We start from the raw sequence: 14,502 nt of genomic DNA, 5'->3' as shown, positions 1-14,502 counted from the left end.
AGAGAGAGAGAGCAAGGCTTTACTCCAACCTGTTTAAAATGCTCTCTTCTAGAAGGCTCTTTGGTTTCTAGAGTGGAATGTCACTCAGTTCCCTTAGGAAAAAGATGTCTCGTGGGGTGCAGGTGGAATTGGGCAGGAACAGGGCTGCTGTAAGGCCTGGACTCTGCATCCCTCTCCATGAGCCTTGTCTCTGTGTCTCTGGTCCCTGCCTCTCTTTGCGCATCTGCTTCATCCTCTCCTCCCTGCCGGCTGACTTCCTCCTTTTGTTTGCTGGCTCCTCACAGTTCTGTTTGCACACAGTAGGTGCATCATGCTACTCGCATTGTGACATTTTAGCATCGCTGGCTCTTGCTAAACCCCTTGTTTCTTCATCTCCTGCCATTCTCAGGAGGACAGGAGAGGGCCCGGCTCATCACTCGACACATCTGCGGCTTGGCTCCCCTTAGGTCAAGGGTGCATCATCTTGCAGCCAAGCTGTGGCTTAGAGGGCACTGGGACAAAGCAGTCCTGCCCATTTGGGCAGCAGGGGCGAGAAGTGGGCAGTTTCCTGTGAACATCCTGATCTTTCTCCACGTTCACAGTCAACCTTCTGTTTGGTTGGTCCCCCATTTCTAGCCCCTTGACCCCAACAAGTAAAGTACTGGGTCATGACATCAAATGTTCCAGATACAGAAAGAGAATCCTTCACCTCTGCATTGCATATTACTTAGTTGTCATTCTAGTTGATGTATCAACCAAGTATTGTGTGTAGGGTTGGGTTTAGGTCTGAATTTTTTCTGAGTGGTCTGCTAAAATCAGATTTCTGAGCCTGCATGCTGAGAACCCATTCCAAGACTAGAACAATTGCACCAAGATGTGGAGGACCATCAGGCCCTGCCTGAACAACCAGCCTTGATTCTAGCTCTTTCCCACCCTCTCGTAGTGTTTTACATGCCACAGGTATGGTTATTTTAATACAATAGATGGATATCAAGCCTACAATTTATATGTTTCCACTTTCTCCTTGAAAATGGAGAATGACGCACTAAGTATTATTGGAGAAAAGATATACTCTATTAGATCTAGGTAAAATTTGAGCCACAGTCATCAGATCTCAGAGTTCAAAGTATGTGTAAATCCATCCTACCCACGGCCCAGTTTCCAGGCACAGCTCCCCTGCCGCACACTCACCTGGCCTCCTGGGGACAGGTAATCTGCCAGCCCCTGCCCTGTTCCTCTCCCCAGTTGGCCACCATGCTTCTATTTTGTGAGGTTGAAAGTAACACCCAGCATCCTCAAGTTCAACATGGGAGGATGCACTTAGCTATGGCTTTGTTTGTTTACCATTCAACCATTTTTCTTGTACCGTCACTGCGTGCTCAAATGCAACTGTAAACGTAAGTCATTTATGTGGAAAATAACTCCTGTTAGATGTGCAGTCTCAGGCCAGTCATTTAAGCTGCCCATACTTGGATTTTGTCATCAGTAACTGAGGATCACAATACCTAACCCTGCTGGTTGTTGCGAGATTAAATGAGATGTGTATAAACTGCCTCGCACATGGGGAGTCTCAAATGATAGCTCTAAGACAGTAAGAGGAAAGAGAGTGGGAGGGACCCTGGTTGTGGTCCGCTCACTCAGATGTGTGGGCGGGCTGCCTGCCATGACTCCCTCTCCCTCTGCACATCCCTGGCTGCAAGTGCTCCCCAGTTGGGTCCCTCTGCTTGTCCCCTGGGACCTGGCAGCAGAGACTATTGTCCCTTGTCCCTTTGCAAGCTCTAGGAGTTTGGCAGATCTAATGAGGACCCAGTTTTCAGTTCTGCGTGCTGTAAACCTTGATTTCCATGCATGATGTAAACCTTGATTTGATCACAAGTTAAAACTGAATCATCAACTCTGAAGCTGGGCTGTGACTGCCAGCCAGAGTTCTTAGAGGATTTCACAGCGATGTGAAAGCTCTTCCCACCTACCCCTGCTTCTTAAAGTGTCTGCTAGACACAGTGACTTCCTTTCAAAGTCCATGCCACATTCTTCTTTTCCCAGCACAGCCAGCCAGAAAAACCCAAATTAAAAGTCCCTCAGGAGAACGACAGTGTGGCTAGATCACTGTTTGGGGAACATGGCCAGTCCGCCTTGTTTGCAGAGTGGCGCGTTCAGCATGTCAGACACGCCACGCGCTGCCGCCTTCACTTGATGATGATTACATGAGGAGCAGCATTCTGAAGGAAGGGTTTGCCCAGCCACCAGCAGCTGATTCATTATTTATATACAATTAAAGGGCAGGATTCAAATGAATGCTAGCATCTGGGAAAAGTCATTATTCATGGACGGATCAGATTGAGCATTTGTCATTTCTCTGGTGACTTAACATACGCCCTGTGCCTTGGAACTCAAATTATACTAAGCAGAAGAGATGCTTTAGCTCTTTTATTTAGTTTAATTGTTGATCTTATTTCACTTTTTTCAGATTATCTGGGCTCGTTTAAAAGTAGCCCTTGCTGCTTCTTCATATATTAAAATAGGAAAGGAGGGAGATTTCTTTTTAGAACCTATTGCATTCTCAAGATGAATGCAAATGATTCGACTATGATTCTTAATGACCCACTATTAACATAGTAGAAAACTCAGTGCATTAATGCAATACCTCTTTTCACATCATTACTCCTAATGGAACTGTTACCAGGATAATAGCTTGACCTTTAGCTATAGATTCAGGTAGCAAAAATGCATTCTGTCTCCCCAATACCTCTATTCACATAGCATATTGACTGTTTGCAGATCAATGCAATGACAGTCTTTTGGCCTTGTCCTTGAGGCCTCATCTGCTATCATAATGGAGGGAATAGGATTTCGTCTTCAGTAAGTAAATTCTAGTTAAAAGTCTCTTTTAAGTTTAGATGTAATCCATGAACTAGGGTGTCAATAATGTGCCCAGTGGAAGTACTTATTTGTATAGGTGTTTTTCAAAAAGCCTATTGCTGCCCCTTCAAAGATCTTAGACACAGACCCAGGAGACAGTGATTTTCTTGGCTTCTTTCTATTGAAACCAAATAAGTTTTCATTGAAACTAGAAAAAAATAACCAGACACGGCTGCCCTTTTAGTGACTGAGAGAATATTTGAGCTCAAGGTTGGACTAGAAAGGTCTGATCTGAACCCCCTCATGACATGGGAGCAGAGAGTCCACAGCCTCCTTTGGCTTATCTTAAACTGGCTTGTCCGCACACGTGGGAATCGTTCAATGTGGCATAGTCCAAATCCACTTTGTTAATTTGGAGCCATGACTTTCTAATGTGTGCTAATTTGGACACATGCATTTCACAACCCAAGAAAAGAGGGGTTGCTATGGAAATTAACTGTATAAATAATATTACAAGGGGGGAGATGTGTACCTGCTATAACAGTGGATTCAGTCATTTTTGTAGTACACATTTTTCTATAAACGAATAGGATGCTAAATAGAAATATTTTGTTCTATTTATTAAAACAGGACTTCAAGAACCTTTTGGAAATTATCTGATCAGTAAATGTTCTTGTGGGTATTTGAAGGCAATAAGACCTTGCTTCTTTAAATAGATCCTATTAATTAAAGACTTCCTGCTAATTCAGATAGACCATTTTCCCCCAATTAGCCTAAATTTGTAAGCTAATGTATTTCCTTCCATTAGAAACAAAAGTGGAAAATATGTTTGCTTATTTATCAAATGCTTGAGTTCTTCAGAAAAATGCACTATAGTAGGTGCTTTGAGGGAGACAAAAGAGATGAAGACCCTGAAGTTGCTTAGAATCTAGTGGCAGAGATTTCAAAGCATGCGCAGCCCCAGGGATAGGCTGTCCTCTGCACCTCCCCACCTTGCTCTCCCGGCCCCCGCCCATATCATACATTGGGCAACCTGGTTGATTTTCTCCCCAGTCATTAATTCTCCTTTCTAAGCATCACTGCCCCTCTCCCCAGGTGGGGCTTTGATGGAACCTTTCCACTAAGACTCTCAGCCCTACGTCTTCCTCTCGCTCCCCAGTCCCACTGTCATCCGGATCACTTCTCTGTCCACATGACAGACGGCCTAGCCTATGTAGTGGATGGACCTCATCCATGGTGACATTCACTTCTGCTGCATTTCAGCCCCACACTGTTGGCCACACCTGAGCATCCTCACACGCGGTTGCTCCTCAGCTGCTCCTGCATGCTCCGGTATCTCAGAACAATTCTTCCAGCTGCATGACCCCTGCCTGCCAACCCATTGACACCTGCACTCCCTGATCTCTATAGATAGCTCCAAGCCCATGAGCCTTTTTCTGTATTCACGTCCTTCCTAGATTTGGGGGGTGAAGGATAGGGGAGGAGTAGAGAGGTGAGTTCATTCATGCCCGGTCACACCTTCAGCATCTTCACGGGCTTATATCCCTGTTCTTCTGCCAAAACTGTCCAGCAAAACCCTGAGCCTAGACCAGCCCTACCATCCCGTGTCCTAAAGGAGCTGCAGGAGACGGAGGTGGAAAGCCTGTAGACTCCCGCCACGCTGCATAGCCCTACCACGTAGCCTGTCTGTGGCGTGGCAGCCGTATTAGTTGTCTGTGGTCTGCTTCCTCTCCAATTCTTCTCAGAGATGATTCCACACCTCCCCTACACCCTCCATCCTCCAGAGCCCCTCACCCCTGAGCTCACTGAGGCCTCAGGAGTGTTTGCTCCAGCCTAGAACCACTTCTGAATCGACCATCTTCCCTTTCCGTGGGTTCAGAAGAGGACATTTCCCTCCTTCTGTTGGAGGCAGCCCCTCCATTTCTATTCCAGATTCATCAGCCCCAACCCCCCCAGGGTGATGCCTTTGACCGTCTCCTCCTTCTCCCTGTATCCTGTTCTCTCCTGCCACACCACTGCTCCCTCAGCCTGCACGTCACACCCAAGTCCCTGTCCCTCAGCCCTCCTGTCTCCCCTCTTCTTCCACCCCTCTCTGGGCCAGGTGTCCTGAGATTGGCCACCCTCCCCAGCCCTCACTGACCTTCATAGGGCACCAAGCCGCCCCTTCTGTCCCTCTTCTGCAATGCAGCGTGCTGGTCCCTCCTTTTTATGAGAACCACTCAGTGGCCTCCCCTCCACTCTCCCCACCCCTCCTGCCTGGCCAGCCGTGCTTGGGCCCCTTCATGTGCTCTTCTGCCTCCACCTTCTCCTTGGCAGCGTGGCGTTCCCCAGGGCTCCCAACCCAGCCTGTGCCCTTTCCACTCTCCATGTTCTCTCTGGTGAACGTTCTCTCTCTCACTGTTTTGTTTTGTTTTGTTTTGTTGTGTGTTTGTTTGAGTCAGAGTCTTGCTCTGTCACCCAGGCTGGAGTGCAGTGGTGCGTTCTCGGCTCACTGCAACCTCCATCTCTCAGGTTCAAGCGATTCTCCTACCTCTGCCTTCTGAGTAGCTGGGACTGCAGGCGCGTGCCACCATGCCCGGCTAATGTTTTTATTTTTAGTAGAGATGGGGTTTCACTGTGTTGGCCAGGCTGGTCTCGAACTCCTGACCTCAAGTGATCCACCCGCCTTGGCCTCCCAGAGTACTGGGATTACAGGCGTGAGCCACCGCGCCCAGCCTCTCTTACTGTTTTAACCACCACATGTATGTCTGTGCCTCTTAAACCAGTGTGTTCAATTTGGCCCCTTCTCTGAACTGTAGATTTCTCTGTCTAAATACACTTGGCCTCCTTGTCTGCAGGTTCCACGTCCACAGATTCAACCAGCTGCAGATTGAAAATATTCAGGAAAAAAAAAATTCAATGCAGCAATAAAAAATAATGCAAATAGGCTGGGTGGCCCTCCACTGCTGTTGTATGCTCTGGTATCTCAGGGCACAGTTGTACAAGTCGCTTAAAGTCTCACTCAATTGCCCAGGCTGGAGTGTAATGGTGTAATCATAGCTCACTGCAGCCTTGAACTCCTAGGCTCAAGAGATCCTCCTGCCTCAGCCTCCAGAGTAGCTGGAACCACAGGCTTGCACCACCACTCCCGGATTACTGATTGACTGATGGATTGATTGATTGATTGAGACAGGGTCTCACTGTATTGCCCAGGCTGGTCTCAAACTCCTGGTCTCAAGCAACGCCCCCCACCTTAGCCTCATAAAGTGTTGAAATTACAGGCATTACCCACCATGCCTGGCCTGTATCAGGGACTTGAACATCTGCAGATTTTGGTGTCTGCTGGGGGTCCTGGAACCAGGACTATATCTGCTATCTCCATGTGGGTGCTCCACAAACACCCCTAACAGCATGCTCCAAACCAAGCCTGCGATGTCCTTTCAGCTCACACACCTTCCCTTTCTTCTCTTTTTACCACATCATGTGATTAACCAAACAATGCCAGTTCTCTGAGAGGCCCTAGACGCGTCACTAGCTCCGGCTTTCGCAGTAGCTTCCTGAAGGGGAACTCCCTGCTGCTCTCTGGGCTCCTTGAAATGTGTCTGCCATGCTACTGACATCGATCTCTTCCTGCACAATCGGATTGTTGCCATGTGTTTGACAGTAGAGATCACATATAGCCGCTTTTCTCTTTCAAATTATTTCCTTAGGATAAATTTCCAGGAGTAAGATTACCAGTCCAAAGGTATAACAGTTTTATGTCTCCCATTAAATATTACTCTTATTTCTCAAAAGGGTTTTCCCTGTTTGCACTAATAGTAATGTGTGAATGTGCCAATTTTATCAGTATCAAGTATTAGCTTTCTAACATTGTTTTTCTGATTTTAGTAGGTATAAAGTGTGTTTTGCAGTTCTTTGGTTAACATATTAATGGAACATTTTTCCTAATATTTTTTGCCCATTTATCTATGGGGACTTTTGAAGTTACTCTTTTATTTGAATGAGCTCTTCATCTGATGGTAGATGGTGAACCTTCTTGGTCACATTTAGTACAACTAGCTTTTCTCATTCTGATGAAATGTCTTATTTTTCATTCAATAGAAATTTTACCTTTTTCTTTAGTTGAATCTGTCAATATTTTCTTTTGTCTTTTTTTTAAGAGAAACCTTTTAAAACATCGAAATTACCAATATTTTAAATACCAAGGAGGCAGTGTGATGTGATGGCCTACCAGATCTTGACCTTACGAAGGACAAGTTGAAAAGATGAGTTTCAAAGTGCTCAGGAGTGTGTGTGAGGTGGAAATGTCAACCCCAGCGCTGCGTGTGCGGCCACACACTGTGCATAGCCCTCCCACGATCATTGTCCCGCCTGCCTTGTGTCCTACCGTGGGGTTCTCCTTAGTCCCCTTTGTGCTGAATCGGGCAGTTCTTTCCTGGGAGCTCGTGTGGTGTGCAAAGGGTTGACTTAAAGTAGAATTGGAACTTTCATCACGACACCAACTGCATTATTATTTGAGTAGTGATTGAGTTAGTAGAAATCACCAGGAGAAAGACCATCTTTTCGTGTTAATTTTGCGTTCAATTTTGAATTGACAACAAAAAAGTGAACTCTTTTAATACGTTTGCTAAACCTTGTCATAAGGTCAGTAGACCCTTAGGAAGCATTTTCTTCTCTGCCTATAAGACACATACACATGGATGTGGAGCCAGTAGAAAGAGTAGCTTCCATACAAACTACTTAGTGAGTATCGCCAGTTTCGTTTTGAAGCACAATGCATTGGACCTACCCAGGACCTGTCAATCTCCATCTTTGCCAAACAAATATAATACAGATACCGAAGACATATCGTGCAGAACTGACCTCCTTTAGAAATCTACTTTTTTTTCTTTTTAGAATATATTTCTGTTTCAGATCTGCATATTTTACTTGTTAAGGTATTTAACAATATTTTACATTTTCTTTCAGTCTTCACAGAAAAGTACTGTACAGCTAACCATGTGGATAAGCTTCCTGGCCCAAGAGATTGGGTACAGATTCTACAGGATCAAATTAAACTGGCCAGAAGAAGGTTAAAAAGAGGCTCAGGTATGACTAAGGTGCAGAAAAATAATTGGAGAAGCACTTATGAATTCTTAGACTTTATAAAGTACAATACTTGGCTCTAGGTTATTTCAGCATCTTGTCTTTTGAAGGAGAGACTGTTTATAATATGCTGATTTGCTCTCTTAAAGTCTTATTCAAATGAATTTTGAAACTCACCTTCAGACTAAATAGTAAAAATTATGTCAGGCCACTTGCATTGAATAGTACAAGTGAAAAAGATTGCTAATCTCATTTGTGGTCTAATGCTGTCATATATGAAAACCGGTTCTCTCTTTTATGGTTCGCTTCTGTCTGCCTATTGATTTTTATTTGTTTGAATCTGCATGACTTTATAAAAGTACAAGTTGCTTAAGGTTAGAAAAAAAAGAAGAAAGAAGCTCTTCTATCAGCAACACCACATCAAGTAAAAGGGATTTTAAGTGGGGGATGGGTGTGTGTGCTCACACGTCCATGCACGGGTTGTGTGTGTGGGTTTAAAATTCTGGGCTTGGAGATTCTGGGATTATTCTTCCAGGAAAAGTGAGCACCCGTTTCATTGTGACTGTTCAGATTTGGTCACTGAAGTCTCAGCTTCCCCAAAGTGACAGTGGGGGCCAATTTCCTAGTGAAGAATCCCTGTGTAGTCAGCTTTCTCCCATCAAATAAGAATAACTATCTCAAACACCACATGTTCTCACTCATAGGTGGGAATTGAACAATGAGAACACATGGACACAGGAAGGGGAACATCACACACCGGGGCCTGTTGTGGGGTGGGGGGAGGGGGAGGGATAGCATTAGGGGATATAACTAATGTTAAATGACGAGTTAATGGGTGCAGCACACCAACATGGCACATGTATATATATGTAACAAACCTGCACGTTGTGCACATGTACCCTAAAACTTAAAGTACAATTAAAAAAAAAGAATAACTATCTCTAGGAGGCCACAAATCTCTAGATAATATTTTTAATTTCATATAAATTAGTGTAGCCATTATGAAAAGCAGTATGGAGGTTCCTCAAAAATTAAAAATAGTTGGGAGGCTGAGGCAGGAGGATTTCTTGAGCCCAGGAGATCGAGACCAGCCTGGGCAACATCTCCAGATGTTTTGTGGAGACCCTATCTACACACACACAAACACACACACACACACCAAAAAAAAAGAAAAAAATCTTAAAAATTAGCCAAGCAAGATGGCACGCACCTGTTGTCCCACCTACTTGGGAGGCTAAGATGGGAGGATCACTTGAGCCCAGGAGTTTGAGGCTGCAGTGAGCGACGACTGGCCACTGCACTACAGTCTGGGTGACAGAGCGAGACCCTGTTTCTTTAAAAAAAAAAAAAAGGTGGAGAAATTCTGTAGAAGGCTATTCTCAGGGACCCAGAAAGACCTTGCTGGCAGTGGATCATGTGTCTGAGTAAGAAACACAGTGTAAATGTTCTGCTGCCTTCCCCATGCTGCACATTTTAGACATAAACACACCTTAGTTTCCTTCTATTGTCAGATGCTGAGACCGATTATTATAAGTTCTGGTCTCTATTCCCTTCCCCTGTCCCACCAGCAAGCAGGCACGCATGCAGTAGGGATGTGCCGCCACATCCCTCTTCTCTTTCCCCCAAGCAGACTGGCCAGGGAACACATCCCCTAACCATGTCTCATTTCTATTAATAATTCCCATCACAAATGCCCATTTCCCCCCAGGTTTGCCCACTTCTACAGGATGAGACCCAAGCCACAGCCTGCTCCCCACCCCTCCCCTCCTCGAGGAGTCCCCACTCACTTGCCCGCTCCTGCCCCTTAGACATCAGAATATTTGATGTTGGACATTGTAACTTTTGACCACTGGTTTAGATGATCTGCCCAGATACTTGTGATCGGCTCCCTTGGCCCTTCTCTTCTGCGTTCCTAGCAGGTTCTATTAACAACTGAGAAGTAGAAGGTGGCTGTAAGACAAAACCAACCCTGACAAGCAGACCCAAATGACAGCACATCAGCAATGACCTGCCAAATACAGTTTGTCTCCCCATTTTGTCAAATCCTGTTCCACATCATTCTCCTCTAGGGCACAGAAGTGGGGCCCCAGCAAATTGAAACTAGAACCACTTGTATTTCCTTCCATGATGCCGATAGGAACCGAGAGGTCTGGATCAATAATATTACCTGCTCTCATGCTTTTTGTCTGATTTTCAGTCTAAATGATAATACAAACAGTGTCTCATAGAGATTGCACAATTTCCACCTTATTTGTCATATCTGGCTCCATTCCTGGAATGAGGTAGAGATTCTGACTCCACAAGCTAATTGGCTACCACTTAAGGAAGCCTGCACTGCCTCTAGAAAAAAAGAAGTGCCCCACACAGATTTGAAAGGCCGTTATGCAAATCCAAATAGAAATTCATTTGGGGCTGTCGTCACATGGAATAATTTTTATTCTATAGCTCCAGTGATTCCTTTCCTGGTGTGCATTTTTATCATTGCCATCAGATGATTTTCTCAGAGCTGAAATCACAATATATCGTGTTAGATCTCAGAGTAAAGATGTCACTGCTGTTAAATGTTTATTGGACTTGCTCAATCTTTTCCAAATTTACCAACTTGATTGTCACCGGGGAAGAAAGACTGTGAGCTTGTTGTTGCAGATAGATGTTATAATTAAATTTGAGTAACACAACAGTGCCTTCCTCCTTGACTCTCAGCCCCTATTCATGCAGCTAGCGTGTTCTGATTTATATATAATCATCTATATATTTTTTTGGTTATATATGTTCTGTTCTTACTAAAGCACATAATTGCATAGGCCTGTTTTTTCAAAGGGAGGATAGCTGAATTACAAAAGGAAGGTCAGTTTATACCCAAAACTGATCTTGTTATAACTAAATGAAAAGCAATTATACATGTAAAGAAAGTTGCCAAAATATAAAATGAACTAGAACTCGAAGATTTAAGAAATTAGCTCATATCGATGCATATGGTATGTTTGGACTATTAATAGCAAAGAGACGAATAGCCCAGACATTAACGCGACTCATGTCCTTGGCATTGTTACTTACTAGCTGTGTTACCTGGAGTGAGTTTCCCAACCTCTGTCTCACTTTCCTTATGTGTTAAGATGGGCAGAGCAACAGACCCACCTTGTAGAGTGTCCTAAGGGTTCAGCGACACACTGCATGTCAAGTGCCCCGTGAGCATTTAATACATGGTGATTATCATTGTTATTATTATTGAAGGATTTTTAAAATCCTAGGCAGTGAGAGAACTACCATGAAGACCATCTGTCCCCAACTCACTCAAACCAATTAGAAGAAAATAATGTCTTCTAAATATAAACATAACATATGTTCATTATTTTTCATATATAAAATAATTTCTAAAAGCCATAGAACAAAATTTAAAATACCTAAAGCCTTTCATCCAGAGGGAAACACAGTTAACATTTCAGTATGTGCCATATTTTTTCTATAAACCTGTTTCCAGAATCTTAATCACACCATTTATCCCATGGTTTGAATATTTTTATGTTGTTAAATATTCATCTACAACATCTTTTTTTTTTTTTTTTTTTGAGATGGAGTCTCGCTCTGTCGCCCAGGCTGGAGTGCAGTGGCGCGATCTCGGCTCACCAAGCTCCGCCTCCCGGGTTCACACCATTCTCCTGCCTCAGCCTCCCGAGTAGCTGGGACTACAGGCGCCTGCCACCTCTCTTGGCTAATTTTCTGTATTTTTAGTAGAGACGGGGTTTTACTGTGTTAGCCAGGATGGTCTCGATCTCCTGACCTCGTGATCCACCCGCCTCGGCCTCCCAAATACAACATCATTTTTAGCAGTTGCTAATCTAATCCAACCTAGGTTGGTCTTGCATATTTCATCCCTTCTCAGTGATTTCTCTTTGTGGTGGATCTAGCAGGTCAGCAGACAAGGGGTCTTTCATTAATGCCAGTGAGCGTCCATCTGAGGACAAGATGTTGGAGGATGAAGGAGACAGGGGAGCCATACAATATTTCTAGCCGTAGCTAAGCCCTGATTATGTTTAAAGCAACAATAAAAACAAGTACGTAGCACTAGTTTAGGCTGCTTCTGACTCAGTGTTACAACATGGTGCCAAGGCTGACCTCATTCAACAGCCTCACAAGGGCTGCCCACGCACATTATGCAGTCAGCAGGGGCCTGCCTGTGGGGACCACAGGCCCTGAGCCATGGAGGCCACCACCGAAACTATCCCAGGGGCCATAATGTGATGTTTTCCCATCCCCACATGTTACGGGAAACTAACAAGCCCATCCCTTGTCAAGAGACACACGTGCACCTTTTTTTTCGCATGTAACAGAAGGTTTTTTGTGACTGAAGGATCTACCTTTGGAAAACTCCCAAGGAGATGGATACATTTATCAGACACGAGCGAAGGTTTGCATTTTAAAACTTAGAAATGGAGAATCTTTTGAAGCAACGCCTATTCCTTCTTCATGACCACGTTAATGCCAGAGTTAGATTGGCAGTTCTAGGATCTGAATCAGCCATCTCCAAAGAAAGGTTCATTCTCAAGATTTCCTAAGCTGCCCCCCAGGAGTGGTTCCGGCGATGCCAAGTGCAAATTCTACAGCAGGAATTCATTGACACATCCCCGCGATGACCCTATTTAAACAATTCACCCCACATGCTGGTTCGATATTCAAGCCTATGTAAATAAGTGAAAATAAACAGAAATCATCAGTGATCAATAGAATGAGGTTCATAAGATTTTAAAAAGTTTTAATATCATGAGGTCAGGAGAGCGAGACCATCCTGGCTAACACAGTGAAACCCCGCCTCTACTAAAAATACAAAAAATTAGCCAGGCGTGGTGGCGGGCGCCTGTAGTCCCAGCTACTCGGGAGGCTGAGGCAGGAGAATGGCGTGAACCCGGGAGGCGGAGCTTGTAGTGAGCCGAGATCGCGCCACTGCACTCCAGCCTGGGCGACAGAGCGAGACTCCGTCTCAAAAAAAAAAAAAAAAAAAAAAAAAGTTTTAATACGGGAAAGTTGATTTTATATCACCATCATCAAAAAATATTCAAATAATGATATTAACATCTGTAATATGAACCAACGGTAGCTGAAAACAGAAAAGAATGGTGAAAACAGTTATGTATACTGGAGTTTTTAAAATTACATCACTATTTTCTGTAAAATGAATGTGCTCCCTGGAACTAATGAGATTTGTGTCTTATGTTTGTAACCAGCAGAGATCGCGGACAGTGATGAAAGACTGGACGGCATTGCTCTACCACCAACAGGTAAATAAAACGCATTTACATTTTCATCACCTCCTGGAAAATACAGCCCACAAAACTATTTGCATTGAAAACGATTTTAACATTAGACATGCAGACACTTGAGCAAACTGCTTCTGCAGTGGACCAGGCCCCGTCATTGGAGCTTCTCAAGGCCCCGTACTCAGAGATGTTTTTCATACTGAATAGAAAAACGTTTTTCTCACACTCTTATTTTCATAAAAATCTCAGAAGAGCAAATCCTAAGAACTAAGTATCATAACATTTTGCCTCCCCAAACCTTTGGACATTACAAAATATTTTTAACGTGAAATGAGATTTCACCTTAAAACGGGGACCACTAATTTTGTGTGATCAAATTCATGGCTAGGCTGTCCTCTCCCACCTCCTCCAAACGGCCTTGGAGCCTTGAGCAGTCAATCAGTGGACACCCAGTGAATACTATGTTTTAACTGAGCGATTTGAACAAGGCCAGCCATCCGGCGTGAGTGGCACATTCCTAATACCAGGACCAGATCAGCTGAAGATACCCTTCCATGGAAGCATTTGCTGCACGCTGTTGTGTTAAGCCATAGACATAATTCCAACTTCATGTTATTTGACTCTCAAGTAATGCTTCTGACCCTGGCTTCCTACCTGTGTATGGGTTCATATCTGAGAGCCAGAGGGGCAGGTGTCTGATCAATGAGCCTTGTGGAAAACAATGTATCCCCTCCATTGGTCACAGGACTCTACTGACTTCCCTCCAAAGGATATCTGAAGATTCTCTGCCCACAAAACCCAGGTACCCCCAAAAACCCTCTTACTGAAAAGGTTCAACCGAATGTTTTTTCCTCTAGTTTTGGGGTGGTCTGTGTTGATTAAATTCAGCAAATATTAGTGGAGTCTCTAGGTTGTGTAGGAACTTGACTAGGCCATGTATTCATTGACAGCACATATCCCAAAATGGCAAGGAAAGCCACATTCGCAGGCATAGGATGGGCCTGTGCTAGTGAACTTCAGAGCTTCAGAGCAACAGGAAAATTCAGCCGTGTAAGAGACACATTGCTTTCTCTGCCACTGAGTAGCTAAGCAACAGATCAATGGACAGATAAATCAAATGAGCTACATAGTGCAAAAAGACCTGCCTACATCAAGTTCTTCCCATACAGAGTCATTATATAAAAGAGATTTCTGTTCTTCTTTGGCTGTGTTTTCACATTTGTGAATTAAGAGAATTGAAATACGTGATCTCTGTTGTTCCTTCCCAATTTGTCATTCTCTGAATATCAGGGCACGCATATCAGCCTCATTCTTATCACCTGGGCCCAATCCCAGCCGATCCATG

General features: G+C 44.2%; 1 protein-coding gene across 47 annotated transcripts in view; it reads left to right on the top strand.

Annotated features, from left to right (window-relative positions):
• The window catches only part of BEND7 (BEN domain containing 7), a 91,154-nt gene that overhangs the window by 69,191 nt on the left and 7,461 nt on the right, over window positions 1–14,502 (top strand). For 23 of the 47 annotated variants that reach the window (XR_007061949.1, XM_047424786.1, XM_011519393.4 and 20 more), the window contains 2 exons: window positions 7,786–7,905; window positions 13,125–13,178. Coding sequence is in view for 39 of the 47 variants with exons in the window: in XM_047424786.1 (XP_047280742.1) it covers window positions 7,786–7,905; window positions 13,125–13,178 (174 nt within the window). In the remaining 8 variants the exon portion in view is untranslated. Of the gene's footprint in view, window positions 1–7,785; window positions 7,906–13,124; window positions 14,358–14,502 lie in introns of those variants that run through there. The other 24 variants (XR_930476.3, XM_011519392.3, XM_011519391.3 and 21 more) reach the window with 9 other exon arrangements.

Source organism: Homo sapiens, chromosome 10 (genome assembly GCF_000001405.40).
Source record: "Homo sapiens chromosome 10, GRCh38.p14 Primary Assembly".
NCBI lineage: Eukaryota > Metazoa > Chordata > Mammalia > Primates > Hominidae > Homo > Homo sapiens.
This window is presented reverse-complemented; position numbering and strand designations above follow the sequence as displayed.